The 24619-nt window shown below is 49.2% G+C and overlaps 1 protein-coding gene across 4 annotated transcripts in view, besides 5 other annotated features; it reads left to right on the top strand.

The window, feature by feature from the left end:
* Positions 1 to 24619, top strand: part of ZCCHC14 (zinc finger CCHC-type containing 14) — an 86777-nt gene that overhangs the window by 49641 nt on the left and 12517 nt on the right. For all 4 annotated transcript variants that reach the window (XR_243401.4, NM_015144.3, XM_005255858.4 and 1 more), the window contains exons 3-7: positions 10183 to 10256; positions 19503 to 19574; positions 22668 to 22777; positions 23507 to 23601; positions 24483 to 24537. Coding sequence is in view for 3 of the 4 variants with exons in the window: in NM_015144.3 (NP_055959.2) it covers positions 10183 to 10256; positions 19503 to 19574; positions 22668 to 22777; positions 23507 to 23601; positions 24483 to 24537 (406 nt within the window). In the remaining variant the exon portion in view is untranslated. The remainder of the gene's footprint in view (positions 1 to 10182; positions 10257 to 19502; positions 19575 to 22667; positions 22778 to 23506; positions 23602 to 24482; positions 24538 to 24619) is intronic.
* Positions 7406 to 8323: an enhancer, noted in NCBI's record as "H3K4me1 hESC enhancer chr16:87468667-87469584 (GRCh37/hg19 assembly coordinates)". NCBI's record gives its function as "activates a minimal SCP1, AML or CMV promoter by ChIP-STARR-seq in naive H9 embryonic stem cells {active_cell/tissue: H9 hESC(naive)}" and the evidence as "EXISTENCE:reporter gene assay evidence [ECO:0000049][PMID:30033119]".
* Positions 16140 to 16647: an enhancer, noted in NCBI's record as "H3K4me1 hESC enhancer chr16:87460343-87460850 (GRCh37/hg19 assembly coordinates)". NCBI's record gives its function as "activates a minimal SCP1, AML or CMV promoter by ChIP-STARR-seq in primed H9 embryonic stem cells {active_cell/tissue: H9 hESC(primed)}" and the evidence as "EXISTENCE:reporter gene assay evidence [ECO:0000049][PMID:30033119]".
* Positions 17664 to 18173: an enhancer, noted in NCBI's record as "H3K4me1 hESC enhancer chr16:87458817-87459326 (GRCh37/hg19 assembly coordinates)". NCBI's record gives its function as "activates a minimal SCP1, AML or CMV promoter by ChIP-STARR-seq in primed H9 embryonic stem cells {active_cell/tissue: H9 hESC(primed)}" and the evidence as "EXISTENCE:reporter gene assay evidence [ECO:0000049][PMID:30033119]".
* Positions 19192 to 19699: an enhancer, noted in NCBI's record as "H3K4me1 hESC enhancer chr16:87457291-87457798 (GRCh37/hg19 assembly coordinates)". NCBI's record gives its function as "activates a minimal SCP1, AML or CMV promoter by ChIP-STARR-seq in primed H9 embryonic stem cells {active_cell/tissue: H9 hESC(primed)}" and the evidence as "EXISTENCE:reporter gene assay evidence [ECO:0000049][PMID:30033119]".
* Positions 19700 to 20209: an enhancer, noted in NCBI's record as "H3K4me1 hESC enhancer chr16:87456781-87457290 (GRCh37/hg19 assembly coordinates)". NCBI's record gives its function as "activates a minimal SCP1, AML or CMV promoter by ChIP-STARR-seq in primed H9 embryonic stem cells {active_cell/tissue: H9 hESC(primed)}" and the evidence as "EXISTENCE:reporter gene assay evidence [ECO:0000049][PMID:30033119]".

Raw genomic sequence — 24619 nt, 5'->3', positions numbered from 1 at the left:
TTGACAATTCCTGCATTGATAAAAAGCTGCCCACTTAAAAAAAATAGGTTTCTTGGAAGCAGCAGTGTTTTCTCATTGAATCTTTTGTAGAGCCATCAGTGACCCCAGTCTGCCTGGAGCCCACTTACCAGTGCCGGTGGAAGGTGGAAACCCGACCACCATCCAGGCCTCTGCCCTTCCGGTCACAGTTGTCTTAGGAATTCTATCCGCAGGCATCGAAAGCTGCTTGGGACCGCGTTAATGATTTTTGTTTTCAACCATCAAACCTATTTTGAACAACTCAAAAGCGGAATAGACTGCTTTTATATTACCCAGATATTTCACATTTCTCTTGCTTTTCTTTCCTTCCTGATGGTCCAAGTTTGCTTCCCGTTCATTTTCCTTCTGTTCAAAGAACTTTAGCAGTTCTTTCAGAGCAGGCCCGCTGACAAACAGTCCTCTCAGTTTTCCTTCATCTGAGGGTGTCTTATTTCACCTTGACTGGATGTAGAGTTACAGTTGGTAGTTATTTGCCTTTAGTACTTTAAAATATGATTCTACTTTCTTCTGGCCTTCATGGTTTCTGATGCGAAAGTCCCAGTCATTTGAATGGTTTTCTCCTATGAGGTAATGTATTGTTTTTGATTGCTTTCAAGATTTTTTTGTCTTTAGTTTTTAGCATTGTGCTTATGACGTGTGTGGGTGTTGATTTCTTTGGGCTTATCTTGTTTGGATAAGCTCATTGAGCTTCTTATGCATAGGCTTATGTCTCTCACACAATTTGGGACTTTTTCAGCCATTGTCCCACCGCTAAAGTTTTAATTTTTTTTTCTGTAAATTTTCATTTGGTTCTTTACACCTGGATTTGTGCAGGCTTTCTGTCTGTCTGTGCATCTCAGGAGTGTTTGCCCCTCCCTGTTGGGGCATTGTGCCAGTAGCTGCTTCTGTGTCTTTGGTAGTTCTAGCATCTGTGCCATCTCAGTGTTGGGATCTGTTGATTTTCTTGAATAGTATGATACGAGACTCTGACTCATCTTTAATCCTACAGAGAATGTTGATGCTTTTGGTTTGGTGCAGTTGACCTGGTTGGGTTCTGACAGCAAGTACTGTGCAGCCTTCTGTGGGGTGTGGCTGTGGTGCCAGCTCCATTTTCCGAGCTGTGGCGGTGCTGTTTGGCCTCGTCCTTTGGGGGCATTGCTTGCCGTCCAGCCTCAGACTCTGCTGGAGGTGTGTTCGGCAGTTCAGATTCTTCCATGTGCAGCCCCCGGGTGAACGCACCCACAACGCCACGGGGTTGCTTCCCTGAAATCTTCCCTCTCTGCTATCCTTCTGTACTTCCAGTTCCCAGGGGCTCCCCTTTTTGGTCCTCCAGCCAGAAAGCTGGGGCTTTAGCCCTCTCTGCTGTGCACTTCAGTGACCATCCCCATCTTCATGGGAAGACAGAGAGAAGAAAAGGCAGTGAGGAGGTGTCACCCCACCTGGAATCGCAGCCCCCACATCAGAGAGGAGCGTCTCCCTTCCAGGGGCTTTCGTTGCTGCTCCGTCTTACCTGGAACCAGAGTCCCCCAACACTACGTTTTCATAGATCATCTTTAGTTCAGTTTCCCTGAAACACAGGTTGGCCCCAAAAAAGTAAGAGGAAAGCTGTAACAACTTTATAAGAGTGCCTTTTTAATGCGCTAGAATATGTGGCTATTTATTGATGAATTATTTTTAATCTCAGAGTTGTCGATTGTACCTTTAAGAAAAACATATTTTCCTACAATAAAGCCCCTAATTTTATTTGCTAAAATCAGAGTTCTAGTTCAGATTTTGTTTTGTGTTCTTACTCTGGAGGCACAAATGGAGTAACACCAGTATGTTTATGTTGGAGAGGAGTTTTGTGTTGCCTTTCAAACTTGAATCCAATAGAACTACAGACTTAAACAATAAATATGAATGGGAGATAAGGAAAATCAAAGACAAAAAAAAAGAAATGGACTTAATAAAAGATTTTTGTACATAAATACTTCTTCTGACCCCAAGACAAAACCGGGAAAGATGAAGCATATTAAGATAATGTAGGTGACTCTATTAGTAATCAGCTTGAGTATTTATATGAAGGTGTATGGGAGGCCGGGCATGGTGGCTCACGCCTGTAATCCCAGCACTTTGGGAGGCCGAGGCGGGCGGATCACGAGGTCGGGAGATCGAGACCATCCTGGCTAACACGGTGAAACCCAGTGTCTACTAAAAATACAAAAAATTAGCTGGGCGTGGTGGCGGGCGCCTGTAGTCCCAGCTACTTGGGAGGCTGAGGCGTGAACCCGGGAGGCGGAGCTTGCAGTGAGCCGAGATGGCGCCGCTGCACTCCAGCCTGGGTGACAGAGCGAAACTCTATCTCCAAAAAAAAAAAAAAAACTTTATGGGAACAGTCGCATATGTATAATAGCAGATAGAAGACTGATGTTAGAGAGTATTTCTATGCTTTCATCTGAAAATGAAGGGCAGGGCTGGGCGTGAAGGTGCAGGCCTGTAAGCCCAGTACTTTGGGAGGCCAAGGCAGGCAGATCACTTGAGTCCAGGAGTTCCAGAGCAAGCAGCCTGGGTGACATGGCGAAACCCCGTGTCTACAAAAAAAAAATACAAAAATCGGCTGGGCATGGTGATGCATGCCTGTAGAGCCAGCTACTCAGGAGGCTGAGGTGGGTGGATCACTTGGACCCAGGAGGTCGAGGCTGCAGTGAGCCAAGATCACACCACTGCACTTCAGCCTGGGCGACAGAGTGAGACCCTGTCAAAAAGAAAATGAAGGGTATTTTGTTGTGAGGAATCAGTTTATGCATAGTCTGGGATGTGGCCAGTGACCTCTGGATACTTCCCTGTTTGGTGCCTTCCTGAAACATGTTACAAATTCTGTTTTATAAAATGCCTGATCTCTCTGTCTAAAACTTTAGAATCAGCTGGGCACGGTGGCTCATGCCTGTAATCCCAGCACTTTGGGAGGCCAAGGTGGGTGGATCACTTGAGGTTAGGAGTTCGAGACCAGCCTGACCAATATGTCGAAACCCTGTCTCTACTAAAAATGCAAAAATTAGCCAGGCGTGGTGGTGTGCGCCTGTAATCCCAGCTACTCAGGAGGCTGAGGCACAAGAATCGCTTGAACTCAGGAGATGGAGGTTGCAGTGAGCTGAGATTGCACCACTGCACTCCAGACTGGGCGACAGAGCAAAACTCTTATCTTAAAAAAAAAAAAAATTGTAAACATAAAAGCATACTGTCGCATGCATTTCAGTCAGTGAATTCAAAGTGCATGTTAGGCCGGGCACAGCGGCTTTCACCTGTAGTCTTGGCTGCGTAGAAAGCTGAGGCAGGAGGATTGCTGGAGCCCTGGAGTTCGAGCGCAGCCTGGGTAACATAGGCAGGCCCCATCTCTAAAATAAATAAACTTTTAAAAATGCTTGTTAGCAGCATAAAATTGTGTGGGAAAATGTTTGGTTCGTTTTAATTAAAGGATGTAGAGAGCTGCTGGTAGACAGCAAAATACTTAACAACTATTGTGCTGATTGTCCTGTGGTTTGATTTACCAACCTAGTCATTGTAGAATTAGATATATAAGATACAGAATTGATGTGGTTACCTGTATTTTGACTTTGTAACATTTTAATCATCCTCTAAGATCTTGTTTGTTTAAAATGTATGTGGTTTTTTAATGTAACTTGTAAGATGTGTTTATTTTCTATGGATATCTCATAGTTATACCTACATCTTTTGGGTTGGAGGTGTATGTGATATTTTGATATATGTATATAATGTGTAATGATCAAATCAGAGTGAGGTGTCTATCTCAAGATTTAATCTTTTTATTTTTTAATTTATAGGAATATCATAGGTTTTTGATTCAGCTTTGCTTTACTTTGGAAATCGCACTTGGTCATTAAGGCAGAATGCCAAGGGGGAGACTGCTTAGCAAAGTGAGGAGTAAGAACTTGTGGCCAGGCACAGTGGCTCACGCCTGTAATCCCAGCACTTTGGGAGGCCGAGGCGGGTGAATCACAAGGTCAGGAGATTGAGGCCAGCCTGGTCAACATAGTGCAACCCCCATCTCTACTAAAAATACAAAAATTAGCTGGGCATGGTGGTGCGTGCCTGTAGTCCCAGCTGCTCAGGAGGCTGAGGCAGGAGAATCACTTGAACCTCGGAGGCAGAGGTTGCAGTGAACTGAGATCATGCCACTCCAGCCTGGCGACAGAGCAAGACTCCCTCTAAAAAAAGAAAAAAAAAAAAAGAACTTGTATGAGGGTCGTCCTCCCAGGCCTTTTGGAATCCTATAAAGAAGATTCCATAATCCATACGCAGGGCACTTCAGAAAGGAAACTTGGTAATGTTCGTGGCTTGTCTTAGCTTGTGTAAATAGCAATATAGTGGTAAATTTAGCTCCTAGGATTCTGAGTCCCTTATAATCCAGAAATACATCTTAACTAAATAATACGGTCTGCTCATTAGTAACAAAGGTGAGGCAGGACACTTCACCTCTGGAGCCATAGGCTCCATGGAGATAAATCAGTTGCATTTCAGGGACTCCACTGTAGGGCCCTCTGCTGTTCCTCTGTAGCGGGAGGAAGACCGGGGCAGTGCCGACGGTGGGCCCGGGCCTCCTGTGAATGCCCCAAGCAGGAGGAAGACCGGGGGCAGTGCTGACCGTGGGCCCAGGCCTCGTGTGAATGCCCCAGCAGGGCCCTTTATTTCTTGGGGATTTTATATCTTTATACTTATTAGGACCATTTCCTGTTTTTATTCATATTTGATTACAAACTATTGGCCCTTTTAAGCTACTATCCCCATTAAACAAATGAGGAAGCAGACACAAAACTGACCTTAGTTACTCAATGAATATTCGAACTCAGGTCTTGGGAGGCATCATTCCGTCTCCTTCCCGTGTGTCATTAACTGTGAGTTGCTACTGGCTGGAAGACTTTCTCTGTATCTAAAAAAGTAAACACATTGCCCACAAAACTAACATGCTGCTTTTTATTGGTCATAGTTTTATTGAAAGAGCCCTTTAAGACTTGGCTGCAGAGTTTCATAATATCATTCTTGTACATGCATAGAAAGGAAAATATCCAAATAAATGAGGTGAGGTGCTCCTGCAGTTGACACACAGAGTCCAGCCCCCGTGCACGCCGTCCAGCCGGCTGGGTCGGGGCGTGCATTCCTCCTGTGCAGTGGGCTCTGTGTGCCACGCAGTGCTGCGGTACCACAGCATTGGAGCGCGTGCCCGGTTGCTGTTTTGGAGTTTCTCCTAAGCTACTGTACCCGCTTTGTGGGTGGGTTGCTGGGTTTTTCCTCATTTTCTCCATAGGTGGCAGGCTGTCACAACCATGTTATTCCTGCCACATGGCCAGCAGCAGGTGTGAGATGGTCCTGGCATCTGATTGTAGAGGCACTGAAGTGTAAAAGGAAAAAATCAGAAGCTGTACACCTTGGCATCGAAACACCGTGGTGTGGTGCAGTTGGACCAAAGGGAGGCCTGACTTTGGACATCACCATTCTTATTCCAGCTTCCCTCCCTTTTTCAGTTGCTACGTTAGAGTACTGGTTTCTAAATGTAGGTGTTGATTCAATTATAAAATGATAGTCGATGTGAATATACATTTTATCGAAGGCTGTGTGATCTAACTTGTAAGACTTGAGGAAAATGCCTGTTGTGTACCTGGAATGAGAAAAGAAGAAAGGTTTGAACAGACAAACATTTCAAAGGGAAAAGTATATCATCCTTCGTGTTCTTACTTCAGGAGGGCGCAGGCCTGGCCCAGCCTCGGGTCCCTTTGCCCCAGCCGTGTTTGTCCCCACACAGGCCTGCCTGGGTGCGGTGCTGACCAGCCTCAGTGCTCCAGCAGAGCCTCCTCATGGCCTTGGCTGCCACGCGCTGTGGCCGAATCGCCATTTTTACGCACGTGAATGCTTTCCTCACGGAGGCTTTCTGGCCAGCGCGGATCCTGTCTTTGTGGTCCCTCTGGCTCTGCTCTCTCAGGTGATGGGGTGATGTTTGCCCCTGAATTTTTTTTTTTTTTTTTTTTTTTTTTTTGAGATGGAATTTCACTCTTGTTGCCCAGGCTGGAGTGCAATGGCGCAAATCTCAGCTCACTGCCACCTCTGCCTCCTGGGGTCAAGTGATTCTCCTGCCTCAGCCTCCCAAGTAACTGTGATTACAGGCATGAGCCACCACGCCCGGCTAATTTTGTATTTTTACTAGAGACGGAGTTTCTCCATGTTGGTCAGGCTGGTCTCTAACTCCTGACCTCAGGTGATCCACCTGCCTCAGCCTCCCAAAGTGCTGGGATTACAGGTGTGAGCTCCCGGCCGCCCCTGAATTTATCTAGGCATTTGCTTACGCTCCACAGAAGGCAGTGGGGCTGACCAGGGAGGGAGGGGAAGGCGGCCACACTGGGGGCAGACTGGAAGTGGGTTGTAATGAGTGTCTGCGTGCAGATAGGTATTCGCTTTGAGATGGCAAAACCACATTACAGAAATGTGGGGAAAAGCTACTCTTCACTTCGCCACCGTACACAGCTGTTCCCATCACTTTCGATCGTTTAGTTTTAGTGTTTTCATTTCCATTTTAAACAAAACTGTCATCATGTTATGCATAGAATTTGTAATTTTCCAGTTAATATCCGAGGCTTTTTTCTTTTTTTCTTTTAAGTTCTGGGGTACGTGTGCAGGATGTGCAGGTTGTTACATAGGTAAATGTGTGCCATGATGTGTTGCTGCACCCATCAGCCCATCACTTAGGCGTAAGCCCGGCATGTGTGAGCTATTTATCCTGCTGCTCTATCAGCCTTTTTTCTTGTTGTGGTTTTTCGAATCACAGCGTCTAATGGCTGCAGAGTTGAGAGCGTGCTGAAATCTTTCCTGACCTTGACTCAGGCTGGTCACCCAGCCCCCGCACTAGCCCGGCCCCTCACTCCTTGTGCCTGGTCTTCCCTCTCTCCCAGGCTCCTCTTCTCAGCCTTCAGAGCCCGCGGAGCACATGGGGTCCAGGGCAGGAGTAGAGGGAGCCTCGCTGCGTCGCTCCTGGGCCCGGAGGTGCCCTGGCGGGGGGCCGCCACTGCCCAGGCTAGCCATTCTGCAGAGGGATGCGCCAACATTTGGAGCCTAGAATTGGAAATGCCTCTTTTATTTGAAAACAGCTGAATAACATTCATCTGCTTTTTCCCATTTTCCTGTCCAGATATGAAATATGACTGAGTCACTTCCTACTCTCAGTCCAGATGGGTTTTTTTTCCTTTTACTTTTTTCATAAACCCTAATATTATTCAGTCCTGGGACATGAGGTACACATGGTGTTTGTGGCCAGGGAGAATGCTGACTACATGTTTCTGTATTCATTGACACTATATGTTGTTTAAAAAAGTAAAATACATGGATTAGAGTGATGTCATTGTGGGAAGTTTTAGAAGTACTGCTTTAGAAAAACATAAAAGCTATGTATTTGCTGACAGTCTGACTGAGGAAGTCAGGCAGGAACAGCGTGTAGTTCCACTAAGTGAACATCAGCAGGGCTGTGTAGCCTCTAAATGTGCTGTGCTCTTTGTTTTGCCAGAAAGGAAATAAACATTTGTATTTTTTATAGTAATTCCTTCCTGTGAGGTGCTATTTTAAGCTTAAAGAACTCTAAAGCGAGTGGACTCCCGCATCCGTGAGATGCACGAGGTTCCCTGGAGGAGCAGGTGGTGCCGCTGGGAGCGCAGCGCCCGCTGCCTCGTGCTCCACGACCCTCACAGCACCTGCAGGGTGACCTGGGACGTGGCCGGGTGTTTGCAGCACACGCTGGGGAGCGAGCGAGGATGGTTGGTTCAGCGCAGGGTTGGCTGGCTCATTCTGCAGATACAGGGAGTCAGTGTCGTTGGCTCCAGGAGCAGGGTGGTGTCTGGCACAGCTCCTCAGCCATGGTATCACGGGGTGGCCACAGAGGACATGCAGATGAGGGGCATGTGGAGGCCCACAGAGCTGCTCACGGACGGGCGGGTGTTGGTTTAGACAGCGCTGTCTGGGAGCACACCGCCCAGCGTGGCAGCCACTAGCCTCCCATGGCTGCAGAACCCTCAGCGTGGTTCTTCAGGACAACTGGGGGTTGAACGTTTAATTTTATTCCTTCTTAATTAACTTAACTTGCCACGGGTGATTTGGGCAGTGCAGGCTTAGAACCATCCCCAGAGCGTGTGCACAGAGCAGGTCCTTGCTCTAGGAGAGGTTCGTGTATGTTAGGAGAAGAAGTTGCCAAAAAATGTGGGGAATCGTTTAAAAAATTATAATGTACTGTAGGACTTGTCAGAGTCCTTAATATCCTAATGTACATTGACAGTTTACAAGGAGTTTCTGAGATTTTTTTTTCCCAAAAAACGTCTTTTTTTTTTTTTTTTTTTTTTTTTGAGGCGAAGTCTCACTTTGTTGCCCAGGCTGGAGTGCAATGGCGCGATATCGGCTCACTGCAACCTCCGCCTCCCAGGTTCAAGCAATTCTCCTGCCTCAGCCTCCCGAGTAGCTGGGATTACAGGTGTCCGCCACTACACCCAGCTAATTTTTTGTCTTTTCAGTAGAGACAGGGATTCACCATGTTGGCCAGGCTGCTCTCGAACTCCTGACCTTGTGATTTGCCTGCCTCGGCCCCCCAAAGTGCTGGGATACCAGGCGTGAGCCACTGCTCCCAACCACCCCAAAAAACTTTTTGGCCATACGGTTTTTTGAGGTGGCCGTGACCTTGTGTGAGCACTGGCGCCCGTGGAGAGGGCTCTGGAGAACGGTGGTGCAGGAGACCAGGCGGTCTTTGGGTGCCTGCAGGAAGTGTCACATTCACAGTTCTGAGAAGTTGTGTTGAGTATTTCACGTTGGACAAAGTTAGATTCTACAAATTAGCAGACATCCCCGTCGCACGCGGCCAGGTGGCCTCCAGACCCAGCGAAGGCTGGTGGAGGAAGGAGGGAGAATGCTCCCGTAGCCTCTTTCCCAGTTATGTGTAAAGCTCGGCGTGGGGCTCCTGGCGCCTGGGAAGTGTGGAAGCTGGCAGAGCCGGGTGTGTTGGGCAGTGAGAAACTTCAGCGCTGGATCAGCGGGGCAGGCCTGCCTTGATGAGGCTGAGTCAGAAACTACAGCATGTTCGATACGCGGCTGTTTTATTTTGAGCAGATATTTGGGCTCATTTAAAAATAGTGCTTAAAACCTAATTGTATCATCTTATTTTTGATGAGAAAAACACGCACCAGTGTACGTGGAAAACGGGATGAGTAGGCTGATGCCTTCCGGGCTCCCTGGTGAGGCCGCTCATCCCTCTGGCTGTCCATCCCGTGCAGCTTCATTCACTGCAGCCCGGCTCTGCTCCCAGACGGTGCTATCTTCCTGACTCCCCCAGGACTGTTGTTCTGGTCTCCTCATCCTTGCCCTCGCAGAGAAGGATGAGAATGAATTCTCCTGAAAAGAAAGGCCAGGCACGGTGGCTTTCGCCTGTAAATCCAGCACGTTGGGAGGCTGAGGCGGGCGGATCACCTGAGGTCAGGAGTTTGAGACCAACTTGGCCAACATGGCAAAACCCCATCTCTTCTAAAAGTACAAAAATCAGCCAGGCACGGTGGTGCATGCGCCTGTAATCCCAGCTACTGGGGAGGCCGAGGCACGAGAATCGCTTGAACCCAGGAGGCAGAGGTTGCAGTGAGCCGCCGAGACAGAGTGAGACTCCGTCTCAAAAAAAAAAGAAAAAAGAAGAAAATACATAGAAGAGACCCCCCAGGTGACTGTGTTCTTGGGGAAATATTGTCTTAAACAGTCACAGTTGAAAATGCTGAGCATTACCTTTTCAGAAGTTGGGACAGATTCGTAACGGTTTTGAGGGTGAACCCGGGAGGCTGCACAGATTCTCAGTTGTAGCTACTGCTGGGCTCTCACTGGGTCCATAAACGTGTGTCTGTACTCCAGTGCCGTTCCTGCCCTTCCATTGCCAGGTGTGGCTTTGCTTTCCCTCCTTTCTGTTGTGAATCTGCCCTGCATTGGTGCTGCCGCCCGCCTTCCTCTCTGGGCTCTGGTTCTAGGTGAGATGCCACCAAAGTGACAGGACAGCCTTGGGTGCTGAGAACCTGGTTTTGAAAACTGCTGAATATCAAATGCTAAATAATCATGTATATACTTCAAGCTCTTATTTCATTTTTGTTTTTTGTTTTACTTTTACAGTGAGTGTTGAAAAGATAGACCTGAAGGGATTATCACACACAAAAAATGACAGAAATGTTGAATGTTCCTTTGAGGTAAGATGCTAAGTTTTTTTCCCCTCTCTCCTGGAAGGCTAGGAAGAAAACACTTACCCTGGAGATGCTTTTCCTTCCTAGCTAAGGCTGTGCCTTGTGCAAAGCCCCGTGCCAGTGCTGTATAGGAAGCTGGCCCTGAGCTCGGGGTGGGCTGTCTCCAGGGTGGGGGTTGTTGGCTGGGGGGCCTCTGCAGGCGGGAAGGGTGGGGGCTCGGGCAGGGCCTGGGGTTGTCAGTTCAGGTGTGAATGGTGCATACCTCAGGGGGCTAAATAGCAGAACTGGATGAGGCAGCCTGCGGAGCAGCGCACACAGAACCCGGGGCCGTGGTGCCTCTGGAGACTGATGATGAAAGCTCCTTGGTCTGGGCAGGGAACGCTCCTTAAACTGACACGTTCAGATGCTGGGAGCTGGTCACTGAAGTTGGGTACCACAAAGAATCAGGAGAGAGGAGCAGTATTGTGTTTCCCGGTGACCCACGGTGACCAGGGTCGAGATGGCCAGAAGCCCATTTCCCTCTCACAGCAGGGCGTGCAGGAGGCCACCCCGTTCCCTGGACGCTGTACCCCATCAGAACCTGAGGGTGCCCTTAGGGGTACAGGCCCCCTCTGGCTACTCTGTGCCATCCCTAGGATGTGGCCCTCTGCTCCCGGCCCAAGGTGCTAGCCAGGGCACCAGTCCTCACGCGTTCATCCTGGGCAGCAGGAGGAAGAAAGGCAGGCTTGAAATCTTTCTCTTAAGGAACATTCCTGAAAGCAGCCTCTAGACACTTCACTTATATTTTGTTGGCCAGATTTAATTTCTTGGTCCCACCTAGATGCCTAAAAGGCTGGGAAATGTGTCCCGGCTGATGGTGCCGAGCTCCCAGTCAGGGCTCTGTCAGGAACCCTGACAGGGGGACATTCTCCTTGGACCACATGTGCATCGAGTGCTGACTGCTCTTGAAGGTCGGTTCCCAGCGTCATTGGAGAGTGCTCTCCAGACAGAACTCCTGTGAGCATCTGGCATGACTCATCTGTGCAGCTTACTAATTTTTTGAAGAGTGTAGCTACACAAAAATACTTCAAATCCTTTTTCCACTAAAGGGACAAGTCTCCACTTGGTTTGGGAGACTGTGTTGTGACAAGCAGTTGTTACGCTGTGCGTTTTTCATTTGAAAATGTAAGGAAAATCCTCAGCTGCTGAGGTTTGGAGGTTGCTGGTGCCTGTGATGGTAGTGCCGGAGTCTCGGCGCCCACGGAGTTTCTGGGTCTCATGTCGTGCAGCCCAGGCGGAGCCCAGGGAAAGACCACAGGGGCCCTCTGAGTGCCCTGGAACCCAGCAGCGGTCCCAGTGATCCTAGGTATTTGCTGACATTTTGCAGTGGTCGCGTGTGACACCTTCCTTCATTCCTTGCATTGCGGTGTCAGGCCTCTTCAGATACTGGTGGGGACTGTGCACTTAAGAAGGTGCTGTGCACGGAGCTGTCTTCGCATATGGTCATAGCACAGTGGGCTTTGATTTGCTCCCAATCCTTAGTCCAGTTAGTCCAGTTATTTGTGGTGAGGAAATCAGGAGTCAGGTCCACACAGTGTAAGGTGTGAGAACTTCATACAACCTGACCGGCCATAGCTTTGCTTTACTTTTCTCTTTTCTTTTCTTTTTTTTTTTTTTTTTTTCAGACAGAGCCTTGCTCTGTCGCCCAGGCTGGAGTGCAGTGACGCGATCTCGGCTCACTGTAAGCTCCGCCTCCCGGGTTCACACCATTTTCCTGCCTCAGCCTCCTGAGTAGCTGGGACTACAGGTGCCCGCCACCATGCCCAGCTAATTTTTTGTATTTTTAGTAGAGACGGGGTTTCACCATGTTAGCCAGGATGGTCTCAATGTCCTGACCTCCTGATCCACCCGCCTCGGCCTCCCAAAGTGCTGGGATTACAGGCGTGAGCCACTGTACCTGGCCTTTTCTTTTCTTTTCCTTTCCTTTCTCATTTCTTTTCTTTTTTCTTTCTTTTTTTTGACACTGTCTTGCTCTGTCACCAGGCTGGAGTGCAGTAGCATGATCTTGGTTCACTACAGCCTCGATCTCCTGGGCTTAAGCAGTCCCCTCACCTTAGCCTCCTAGTAGCTGGGACCACAGGCACATGCCACCATACCCAGCTAATTTTTTGTACTTTTGTGGAGATAGGGTTTCACCGTGTTGTTCAGGCTGGTCTCAAACTCCCCTGCTCAAGCGATCTGCCCGCCTCAGCCTCCCAAAGTGCTGGGATTACAGGCATGAGTGCACCTGGCCAGATTTTTCTATTTTAGAAATCAAGTTGATTCTGAAAGTTAGCGGGGCACAGTGGCTCACACCTGTAATCCCAGCACTTTGGGAGGCCAAGGTGGGTGGATCACTTGGGGTCAGGAGTTCAAGACCAGCCTAGCCAACATGGTGAAACCCTGACTCTACTAAAAATACAAAAATTAGCCGGGCGCGGTGGCGGGCACCCGTAGTCCCAGCTACTCGGGAGGCTGAGGCCGGGGAATCGCTTGAACCTGGGAGGCAGAGGTTGCAGTGAGCCGAGATTGTACCACTGCACTCCAGCCTGGGCAACAGAGCGAGACTGCATCTCAAAAAAAAAAAAAAAGAAAGAAATCAAGTTAAAGTGATATGGAAAGAACTTGAGTAATTAATTTTGAAAAGAAGAAACGAATTGGAAGACTTGCACAACCTGATTTCAAGCCTTCTCGAACAGCAGGATCACAACGCTGTGAGGTAGCAAAAGGGAAGGCAGCACAGATGAGTGGGACAGAAGAGGCTCCAGACAGACTCACACGCACAGGCCGGGTATGAAGGAGTGCCACAAAGAAAGGATGCGCTTTTCAGCAGACACCCTGGAACAGACGTCCGTATGCAGGAGAAGCAAGCCTTGACTCCCGCCGCTGCCCTTACACCAAATTAACTCAGAAGTGATCGGAGACCTAAATGTAAACCCAAAACAAAAACTACTGGGAGGAAACACACTTTGTGATTTTAAACTAGGTGAAGATTTCTGAGATACGGTGCTGAAAACATCCATAAAAGACAACATCGATGAATTAGAATATATTAAGATTTGAAACTTTCTCTTTGAGAGATGCTATGAAGAGAATGAAAAGGCAAAGATTAGGAGAAAATATTTGCAAGTCATGTAGCTGATGAAGGATTTATATGTTCAAAATGTATAAAGAATTCTCAAAACTTTTTTTTAAGAGATGGGGTCTCCGGCTGGGCGCGGTGGCTCACGCCTGTAATGCCAGCACTTTGGGAGCCCAAGGCGGACGGATCACCTGAGGTCAGGAGTTTGAGACCAGCCTAGCCAAGATGGCAAAACCCTCTCTCTAGTAAAAATAGAAAAATTAGCCAGGCGTGGTAGCTGGTACCTGTAATCCTAGCTGCTTGGGAGGCTGAGGCAGGAGAATTGCTTGAAGCCAGGAGGCGGAGGTTGCAGTGAGCCAAGATCATGCCACTGCACTCCAGCTTGGGCAACAAAAGCAAAACTGCCTGGGAAAAAAAAAGAGATAGTGTCTCCTTCTGTCACCCAGACTGGTCTTGAACTCTTGCCTCAAGGGATCCTCCTGTCCTGGCCGCCTAGGTTGCTGGCATGAGCCGCCATGCCCAACAAGTTGCTGCTTCTTACTAAGTTTTGAGAGTTCTGCCAGGTGTAGTGGCACATGCCTGCAGTTCCAGCTACTCGGGAGGCTGAGGCAGGAATATCCCTTGAGGCCAGGAGTTCAAGACTAGCCTGGGCAACAGTGAGACCCTGTCTCCACAAAGAAAAAAAAAGATGATTTGCCAAGGAAGATACATGGGTGGCACATAAACACATGTGAAAAGATAGTCACCATCCTCATCATTAGGAAAATGCTAAGTCAACCACAGTGAAAGGGCACTGCACACCTCTTGAAATACTGGAATGAAAAACGCCGGCCCCACCCACCTCAGGCTGCGGTGTGGGGGAGCTAGAATCACATTCACTGATGGTGGGAATGTGAAATGGTGCAGCTATTTCGGAAAACAGTCTGGCAGTTTCTTAAAAAGTATGACCCGTAAGTTCCAGCCTAGGTATTTACCCTGGGGGAATTAAGCACATGTTCATAAAAGATTCATGCATGAGTGTTTATAGCAGCTTTGTTTGTAACGTTCCAAGACTGTCAACAACGAAGACACCCGTTCACAGGCGCGTGGACAGGCCAACCCTGGTGTTATGTCCACGCAGTGGAATACCACCCCCGGCAGTAATGCTGAGGGGTCTCAGAATGGACAACTGAGATACTCAGCCATATGCACGAATCTCGTGTTGTGTGAAAGAAACTAGACGACTCCTTCCAAAAAGTTTATACTCAGTGAGTCCGTTTATGAGTCTAGTTATATAAAATTCTAGAAAATGCAGACTCATCTGTAGCAACAGAAAGCAGTCAGTGGTTTCCTGGGGAGGGGCTGGAGGACACCTCAGGGGTGATGCTCCCTGCCATGGTGGGGCATGGCTCACAGGTGCCCTCAGATCAGAACAGCAGATGGACCCCTTTAAATACGTGCAGTTCATCGTCAGTTATAATTCATTACAACTCCTTTTGTTAAAAAAAAATACTTGAAGATTCAAATTTTCCTTTTGTCCATAGAACCTTGACTAATGAAAATCAAATTGTCCTTTAAGTAAGTTGTCCTTTGTAAGTGGAAATAAATAGCAATTATACTGTGACCAGAGCAATAAGCCAGCATTCGTAGGAATGCCTGCTGTGCTTTGCTGAGGTGGAACAGTCTGTTGCCGACAGTATGGCAAGATTCAAAGAAACGTTTTTTTCTAAAAACTTTCACTTATTCAGGGAGAAATAAGTAACTTCTCCCTGCCCCACTGATTTTCTCAGCCTGTTTCTCGTTTTAATTTTTATGTATCGTTGTTTTCCAGGATACAAAAGGTTACTGTTTTATAGGAAGATATAAGTAACTGGATTAAGATGACTTCAAGCTTTTTTTCTATGGAGTTGGTTTTGATTTTGCTGAAATTATAATCGCTAGTTCCTCGTTGCTGAGGAAATCAAACCAATATGCAGGAATCAAATGATGGAACCTTTTTGATATAAAGTCAGCATGTAGGCAGCTGAGGCAGGAGCATCACCTGGAGGCCAGGAGACTGTGACTAGCCTGGGCAACACAGTGAGACCTGTCTCTTAAAAAAAAAAAAAAAAAAAATCATAGAGGCCAGGTGCAGTGGCTCATGCCTGTAAATCCCAGCACTGTGGGAGGCTGAGGCAGACGGATCGCTTGAGCCAGCCTGGGTGACATGGTGAAACCCCATCACTGCAAAAAGTGCAAAAAGTACAAAAAGTAGTTGGTCATTGTGGCACTCACCTATATTCCCAGCTACTGAGGAGGCTGAGGTGGGAGGATCACTTGAGCCTGGGAGGTCAAGGCTGCAGTGAGCCAAGATCATGCCACTGCACTCCAACTTGGGCGACAGTGAGAGACCTTGTCTCAAAAAAGAAAAAAAATGATAAAACAATACTAATAAACAACTCTTATTAAACCATCCTTTAAAGTCACCCAGACGTTATTTTAGTGTTATCTTTTCTTTCAAAGTTTATTTTTTCACTTGGGTGGCTGAAGCACAAGGATCGCTTAAACCCGGGAGGCGGAGGTTGGTTGCAGTGAGCTGAGATCGCGCCACTGCACTCCAGCCTGGGCAGCAGAGCAAAACTCTGTCTCAAAAAGAAAAAAAAGTTCATACCCCAAGCAACACTGACTGCTCCGAGTACGCTGTCAGTCACTGTTAGCAAAGAAGGAGTCCTGGCAAGTGAGGCTTCCCTGAGTCTCTGTTTTTATCACGTGTACACCTGCACAGCAGAGGGCCCAGTGATTCCTCAGGCATTGCCAGAGCAGCAGGCACTAGGTAGACCCTGCCCTCCAAGGTTGGGGGACCTGTGGTGATGAGTGTGGCTGCAGAAGGTGACCCGTGGCAGAGCTGAGTGGAGATTCTGGGTGTCTTCATGTCTCACCCAGTATCCAACACTGTTTCCACTGGAGCTGTTTTGTGTTTGTTTGCTGATTGACAAGGACTTAGAAAGCTGCTCCTTCCCCCACATCTTCCCCTGTTGGCTGGAGCTCCTCTGGCGTGCACGCGAGCCCGCGTCCCGTCGGGTTTTTGCTCTGCTCTGTGGACGGCTGCCTCGTCTTCCTGCCTTTAGTTGAGCGTTTCATTCCTACTGGCCTGGTTTTCATTTCAGAGAACTCTTGGGCTCTGACAGTTGTTTTTTCATAGCATCCTGTTCTCGGATATGCCTTCTTCTCTTAGCTTAGTAAGAATATTGATGAAAATTTTTTAGTTTTCTTAGAGTCCACGCTTTCCCTTGGCTGCTGTGTTCTCCTTGCTGGCTTTGCCTGTCTCTGTGCTGGGCCTTGGCTCTCCTCAGGGGTCTCCAAAGGTCTGGGGGATCCTGGGCTGCCTGTCCCCTTAGGGGTGTGGCTGAGCCCTGCCCCCAGAGGTGCCTGGCTGAGCCTTTTCTTGTGCAGAATGAGGCCGCATGGCTCCAGTGGCTCTGGAGGGGGAGGCTGTGTGGAAAAACACTGATGTTCAGAGCCAGTCCACAGTGAGCCGGAGGAACTAGACCCTGCGTGTGAGGACATCCTGAGCATGCACGGGCTGTGTGCACATTGGGCTTTGGGGTGTGATGAAGATGCATTACAATTCGTCCAGATAAGGCTAAGTAGCTTTTCAGGGACGTGATAGAAGATGCTGTGCCAGAATCTAATTGGCAACACTTTTTCTTGGTGAAATGTAAAGTAATGGGGTAGCTGGTTGTGGATGCTTGTGAGTATGGTTGGACACGTGTCCCCATAGTACGGGTCAGGCAGGTATGACAAGAGGATGCTCTTCCCGCCCCCATGCCCCTCTAACGGCCGGTTCCCCTTCTGGCTCTCTGGGGCAAGTCGGCAGGTGAGGTAGAGGGCTTGGCTGGGTCTGGATCGTGGCTGCTGCAGCTTAGCCATCAGCCAGCATCACCTGCAGAGCGAGCGACATGGGCTGGTCTCCGCCTGACTGTGCGGTCTCTGTTTCCAGTGCTCACTTTCTGATAGCCTTAGGGAGGAATGTGAGCTGCACCTGCAAGTCAGAGAAAAATGTATCCGAACACAAAGTAGAAGAGTCCTGTGTAATTAAAGTGCATAACTGTTGGAAAAGCAGATTGTCTGTTTCAACATAAGATGATCTGTCCATACCATGTTTAATCGCTGGGGTGGTGGATTTCACATCTTCCCTGGGTTAGGGCGCAGTAGGAAAGATACAGCCTAGAGGCAGGTGTGAGAGCTGTGCAGAGGAGACGTTTTCTATGACACGCTTTACCTTGAAAGAGACACGCTGTCAGCAGCGCGGGGGACAGCCATCTTCACGGCAGGGGTTTGTGTCTGTTGGTGGTGGTGTTCTTGGAGTTCTGTGTGGGGAGCAGCTTAGGAACCTCTCCCCAAGATTTTTGGTGTTGAGAGATTTTAATATTTAAGGCAGAGAAGGAGCTCAAACATTTTCTTTTCTTTTCTTTTCTTTCTTTCTTTCTTTTTTTTTTTTGATAGAGTTTCGCTCTTGTTGCCCAGGCTGGAGTGCAATGGCGCGATCTCGGCTCACTGCAGCCTCCCCCTCCCGGGTTCAAGCAGTTCTCCCACCTCAGTCTCCCAAGTAGCTAGGATTACAGGCGCCTGCCACCATGCCCGGCCAATTTTGTATTTTTAGTAGAGACGGGGTTTCTCCACGTTGGTCAGGCTGGTCTTGAACTCCTGACCTCAGGTGATCCGCCCACCTCAGCCTCCCAAAGTGCTGGGATTACAGGTGTGAGCCACTGCGCCCGGCCTCAAGCATTTTCATTTTAGGTGTGGAAGATTCTGGGTGGCAAGGTGCACGCCTTGCAGCCGTTAGTTCCAGGGACGCTGCTGCTTGCCTTGATGAATTCTGGTAGGCACTGGGGTTCTGGTGAAGAAGAGGTGGCCCTTTCCTCGACTGGCCTGTGTATTATGAGGGCGTGATGAAACAGACCCAGGAGTGACGCTACGTGATGTGACGAGACTGGCCTCAGTTTCAGCAGGCAGGAGGGTGGACACCTCGGGGACTAGACTGCAGGCCCATGGATGTGGGTGTGGGTGTGGGTGAGGGAGCAGAGGTGGTTTGGGTGCCTGTGAGCTCTCTTTGCTCTAAATCAGTGTTAATACAGCGTTTTCTTTTGCATAATGTATTTGGTCATTTTATTTGCCGACTTGAAATCCCCCAGCTTCTTGTGGACTTGAGTGCAATTTGCATTTGGTGCTTGTCCCTTCCTGACCTGGCCTCCTCCCTGTCATTTCAGGCCATCCCCTCTGTCCATCTCAATCCTGTAGCTAACTTCTTATTTGCCTTTCAGAAGTCAACCCAAGCTCTTCTCCATGCAGAAACTCCCTCTAATGTGCAAAAAGTACGCTCTCCTTCCCCCTCAGTCAGCTTTGTTTAGCACCTCATGTGACGAGCATTGTGATAGCCAGGGGAGAGCTGAGCAAAAAGACACCGCCCCTTCCCCCCTGGAGCTTAGCGTGCATGTGGGGAGATGGACCTCCGTGGAGCCATGCAGTGACACCGCCCGCTGCTGCATGCTGGGAAGGAAAGCTGATGCTCACAAGGGCTGGGCACACCAGACGTTGCAGAATCTCCTCCAGAAAGCCCTTTTCACTGCTCTTCCCCAGCAGTGATCACTGCTGCCCTAGTGATCACTGCCCTGTCCTGTTGCTATCAATGGACTCACACTGTCCCCACAGCTCTGCAGTGTCCTGAGAGCAGGGCCTGGGCTCACTGTGTGCCCACAGCACCTGGGCGGGCGCACCACGGGCCCTTACCGGTGGTCGAAGGGCTGCTCTCTGGGAATGTGTCGCTCTTGCATCTGAGGCACATAGGCTCACTTAAGAAGAGGAGGTCCCCTGAGGAAGTTGAACAGGGCACACACAAGCAATTGTCAGGGATTTTCTAGAACTTACAGGAGGCAGCTGTAGACCCCACTCTGGAGTAATTTGGTGATATCTGAATAATTGCATAAAACAAGTTAGACTTTAGAGGGCCTGGAGCTATGTGACTCTTCTTTCTGTAACAAGTCAAGGGATGCTTAGGTGCTTCCCACAGCAGGTGCACGGCCCACTGGGCTCAGCTGCCGACTGAACGTGTGCCCCAGTCGTACCAGGACACGTGCTGGGAACCAAGTATGTGGTGTCTGTTTCTAAGGTTTGTTTGTTTGTTTGTTTTTAAGGTCTTGTGGTCTGATTCTTCAATAACATCAGTAACCAAATCTTCCTCTGAAGTGACGGAATTTATTTCAAAGGTAAGGTAATCAAGGGCTCTTATAAAAATTAAAAGAATCACATTCCCCAGTGGCTGATGATACCACGGAGTAATTTCAGAGGCCACTCCCTTCAGCTAGCGAGTGAGCGTGCGCAGGGCGGGGCCTCCTGCCCAGCCACAGTGGAGTCCCAGGCCCGCTGCTGACATGAGCGTTGCTGCGAGCACAGGTCCGTGACCCCGCGGATGCCTCCTTCACTTGTTGAGACTGAGATGAGGCTGAGAGATGCGCCGGGCATGAGCGACTGATGAGGACATTTGGTTTCTTTTGTTACTTTTCAGTCCCCCAGGTTTCCTTGGCAAAGGCTGGGGGAGAGAGGCATGCTCAGGTGGCTGAGTGGGTAGAGACTTCACCTAGTTCTACCTTTATCTGTTTTTATTTATTTATTTATTTTATTATTATTTTTTTAAGAGACTGGATCTTGCTCTCGCCCAGGCTGGGTTGTGGTGGTACCATCATCACAGCTCACTGCAGCCTTGACCTCCTGGTGCTCAAGTGGTCCTCCCACGTTTATCTTTACAAATATCTGGTTCAGCAGATACCATTGAACAGAAAGTTCCACTACTAAATAAATGCCTCTTTGCCTCCGTGTGCATGTGTACACACAGTTGTAACTGCACACGTGTTTAGGGCCCACTGGCCTGTGCTGTAGCGTGAACGACTGTCTCAGCCAAAGTGATGCCTCTCAGGCAGTCAGCTTTGTGAATGGGATAACATATGTAAATGTCTCCAAAGAGAGCCTTACTTTTCATTATAAAGCCAAGGCCTCATCCTGCAGGAGAACATGGAGTGAGGACGATGTCTGATTACACTTATCTTTTTGGCCTCTTGGGCATTGAAGAACACGACAGTGCCACGCCTTCGAGGGTAACACACACCCCCCCCCGGGAATCTGCTTTTCCCTCTGTAGTGTTTAAAATACTAAATCTCCTCGCCTCTGTGTGTAGTTTCCCCTTTTGTTAAACACAGCTTCCCTGGACTCCACTCCTGCCGGCTGGAACTTCGACCTCTCATTGGGCTTTTGTCTCAGTGTTTTGTTTTGTTTTTTTTTTCTTTGAGATGGAGTCTCACTCTGTTGTCCAGACTGGAGTGCAGTGGTATGATCTTGGCTCACTGCAACCTCCACCTCCCGGCTTCAAGCAATTCTCCTGCCTTAGTCTCCCAAGTTGCTGGGATCACAGGTGCACACCACCACGCCCAGCTCTCTCTCTTTTTTTTTTTTTTAATTTTTAGTAGAGACAGTTTCACCATGTTGGCCAGGCTGCTCTTGAACTCCTGACCTCAGGTGATCTGTCCTCCTCGGCCTCCCAGAGTACTGGTGTTACAGGTGTGAGCCACTGCACCTGGCCTAATTTTGGAAAATTCTTATCCATTTTCTCCTCAAGCATTTCTTCTGCCGCATCCTCCCCTCTCCTGGACTCTGGCGGCACGAGCCTCAGACCCCTGGTGCTGCCGCCCCACGGCTCTCCCATGCTTGTGCATTTCTCTGTGTGTACGTCTGGGTGGTTCCTGTGCCCGTTTCCACACCAGCCGATCCCCTCAGTTCTGCCCAGGCTGCTGTGGAGCCTGTCCATGTACTCAAGTCCTCATTTCTGCTGCCAGGGGTTTCTTTTGTGTTTTTGCCCCTAGGTTTTCCATTTGACGTGTTCATGAAGTTTCCATCTCTCTGCTGAAACGTGTTCATGAAAGTTCCCGCTTGTTTGTGCATATTGTCGTTTTCACTAGGTCCTTTAGTACATCCATCATAGCTGTTTAAAGTCCCTGTCACTAGGTCCCACATCTGAGTTATTTCTGAATCTGGTTCTAATGATTGCTTTATCTCTTGACAATAGTTTTTTCCCCCTTTATTCCTTTTTTTTTTGGTATGTCTTGCAAATGTTGACTGAATGTCAGACATGTTTAGATGACCGTGGAGCCGGAGGAGAGCGAGATTTATGCCTGGAAAGGGTCAACACCTCTTCTGCCAGGGCCCTTAGTGGGGTCCTGGAGGCCATCTGGGCAGGATGAAGCTGGCACTGGGCTCTCTTGCTGCCTCTGTTACCCTCAGGGCCTCTCCAGTGAAGGCAGCTGCTGCCTGAGTCTGGAGGGTCTTCTCCGCCGTTTTGCTTCACTCCCAGCTTTCAGCCGTCCCTGCAGGCCTGTGGCACACAGCAGGGCACTCTCTACCCTCTCGGCCCCTTTTCGGGGGTAGACCGCTGCTGCTTGTTTGCGACCTGGTGCTGGGCTTGTGGGGGCAAGGGCCTTCACTCTTGCAGCCCAGCCTGATCCTGGGCAGGCCTGTGTGCCTGGGCTTCGGGGTGGCACTTCCTCAGTGCCTTGCCCTCCCCGGCAGGAGCTGACCTCCTCCAGCACCAGAGCGCTTTTGCTTTTCCCCTTCTTCCAGGAGCAGCGGGTCTTCTTGTGACTGGTGGCAGAGGAAGGGAAGTATTGTCCCTGCCCCACTCCTAAAAACCGGGCCTTTGGTTTGGGCTCTGGGGCCAGGAGCAATTTTTGTCCCTCCTGCAACGTCTTAAGGGCTTTTCCTCAGATCCAGAGAGTGGTCCCGGGAATTGCACTAGGCCTGGTGCCCGGTCCCCAGGTGCCACCGATGGGGCTCTCTCTGGCTCCTCCTGCGGAAAGGAACTTGGAAAGAAGGGCCCACTTGCCCCGCCTGGGGCTCCGGCATTTCTGTTGGCCACGTCAGCCTGTGGCAGTGTGTCCATCGGAACCTGTCTCTCCAGACCTGCTGGTGTGGCAGCCACCAGGGCCTTGTGCCCTGGCTTGTCATGGGAGCAGGTCCCGTTTGAAATTAAGTTGACTTAGTGGCCCAGCAACTCTCAGATGGGCTCAAGGAACATTGTGATTGTGCAGATTGTCAAGCTTTTCCGGATGTAACTGTGAGAGCGATGTTCTTTTGTGACTTTCTACACCCTAAGTGGATGTGGGCCCCAGAATAGCTCTGACGGGAGGTGTAAATCATATCAGACCAGCAGGCGGCACCATGGAGCACCTGCCCCAGGTTTTCCTGCAGTAGCAGAATTCTGCTGGTGTTGGATGGGTCTGGACACACCTCCTCTACCTTGTCCTCTCTTCCAGCTATGTCAGCTCTATCCTGAAGAGAACTTGGAGAAACTCATTCCTTGCTTAGCTGGTCCGGACGCATTTTATGTGGAGCGAAACCACGTGGATCTGGACTCAGGCCTGAGGTGAGGCCCTTACCAGGCACCCGGCGCGTCCACAGCTGGCAAGGACAGGCTGGTCCTGTGGTCAATGCTGTGGTCCTCCAAGGAGCTCTGGGAGGATGCGCGGTCACCTGGACCTGGGTCTCTACTTGGCCTCTAGGGATTTCCATTAGTTCTGGAGGATTCGGGAGCCCTCAGTAAGCTGAGAGTGGTTCTGAGTGTGTGAGGAAGGGAATTCCAGGGTGGGTCCCACCACGTCTTGGGCTTTGGCAGTCCTGTGAAATAATCCTGGGCTGCTGTTTCCATCCTGTAGTCCAAGGTTGAGACTATTCCCAGATAAAATTGGCGTCTCTTAAACAGTTTCTCTGGACCCTCGATCGTGTCTTGGCTCACGTGGCACACGAAGTAACATGGCCGACCAGTTCCGTAAATGTGCTGCTGCCGGGGCCCTGGGGACCAGTGTCCAAGCACCTTTCTGGCTGGTGGGTGGCACTGATCTCATGTCACAGGGCATGACTGCTGTCGTCAACCTTGGTGGCCATGAATACAGCATTGAGAGGAAGGGCTTGAAGAAGCAGTGGCAGTCGGGCAAGAACTCAGTTGAATTAAAGCAGGAAGAATATGAGGCTCTGGCACTTCTGGCTTTTTTCCTCTAATACACATTTCTCTTGATTAAAAGTTAAATTTTTTTCTTTCAATTCGTCAGCAGGAATGCCATTTTAATGTTGATAAGACCACTTGTTTGCCTTTTAGGTACCTGGCCTCATTACCTTCTCACGTGTTGAAAAATGACCATGTCAGGAGGTTTCTCAGCACTTCCTCTCCCCCACAGCAGCTTCAGAGTCCAAGTGAGTTTGTAAAATATGGTTAAATATAAATTAAAAAAAAAAAAAACAGCTGGGCGCAGTGGCTCATGCTTGTAATCCCAGCACTTTGGGAGGCTGAGGCGGGCGGATCACCTGAGGTTGGGAGTTCAAGACCAGCCTGACCAACATGGAAAAACCCTGTCTCTACTAAAAATACAAAATTAGGCTGGGCGCAGTGGCTCACGCCTATAATCCCAATACTTTGGGAGGCTGAGGCGGGTGGATCACGAGGTCAGGAGTTCAAGACCAGCCCGGCCAATATGGTGAAACCCCGTGTCTACTAAAAATACAAAAAAATTAGCCAGGCGTGGTGATGCATGCCTGCAGTCCCCGCTACTTGGGAGGCTGAGGCAGAAGAATCACTTGAACCCGGGAGGCGGTGGTTGCAGTGAGCCGAGATTGCACCACTGCACTCCAGCATGGTTGACAGAGCAAGTCTCCATCTCCAAAATAAAATAAAAATACAAAATTAGCCGGGCGTGGTGGCAGGCTCCTGTAATCCCAGCTACTCAGTAGGCTGAGGCAGGAGAATCACTTGAACCCGGGAGGCGGTGGTTGCAGTGAGCCGAGATTGCCCCACTGCACTCCAGCATGGTTGACAGAGCAAGACTCCATCTCCAAAATAAAATAAAAATATAAAATTAGCCGGGCGTGGTGGCAGTCGCCTGTAGTCCCAGCTACTCGGGAGGCTGAGGCAGGAGAATCACTTGAACCCGGGAGGCAGAGGTTGCAGTGAGCCGAGATCGCACCATTGCTCTCCAGCCTGGGCAACAAGAGCAAAACACCGTCTCAAAAAATAATAAAATAAAACAAATATTTTCATTGTCTGTAAATTTTTATGGTATTTATTTTTAAATTTATAGGTCCTGGCAATCCCTCCCTTTCTAAAGTAGGTACCGTGATGGGCGTGTCTGGAAGGTGAGAAATCTTCTATGTAACCAGCACAGTTCAGATAAGCATTTTACAATGTTTACTTTGAGTTCTGTGTAAAGTTGTTCCA

This window comes from Homo sapiens, chromosome 16 (genome assembly GCF_000001405.40).
Source record: "Homo sapiens chromosome 16, GRCh38.p14 Primary Assembly".
In the NCBI taxonomy this organism is placed as follows: Eukaryota; Metazoa; Chordata; class Mammalia; order Primates; family Hominidae; genus Homo; species Homo sapiens.
The sequence above is the reverse complement of the archived record's forward strand: the minus strand, read 5'-3'. Positions and strand labels throughout refer to the sequence as shown.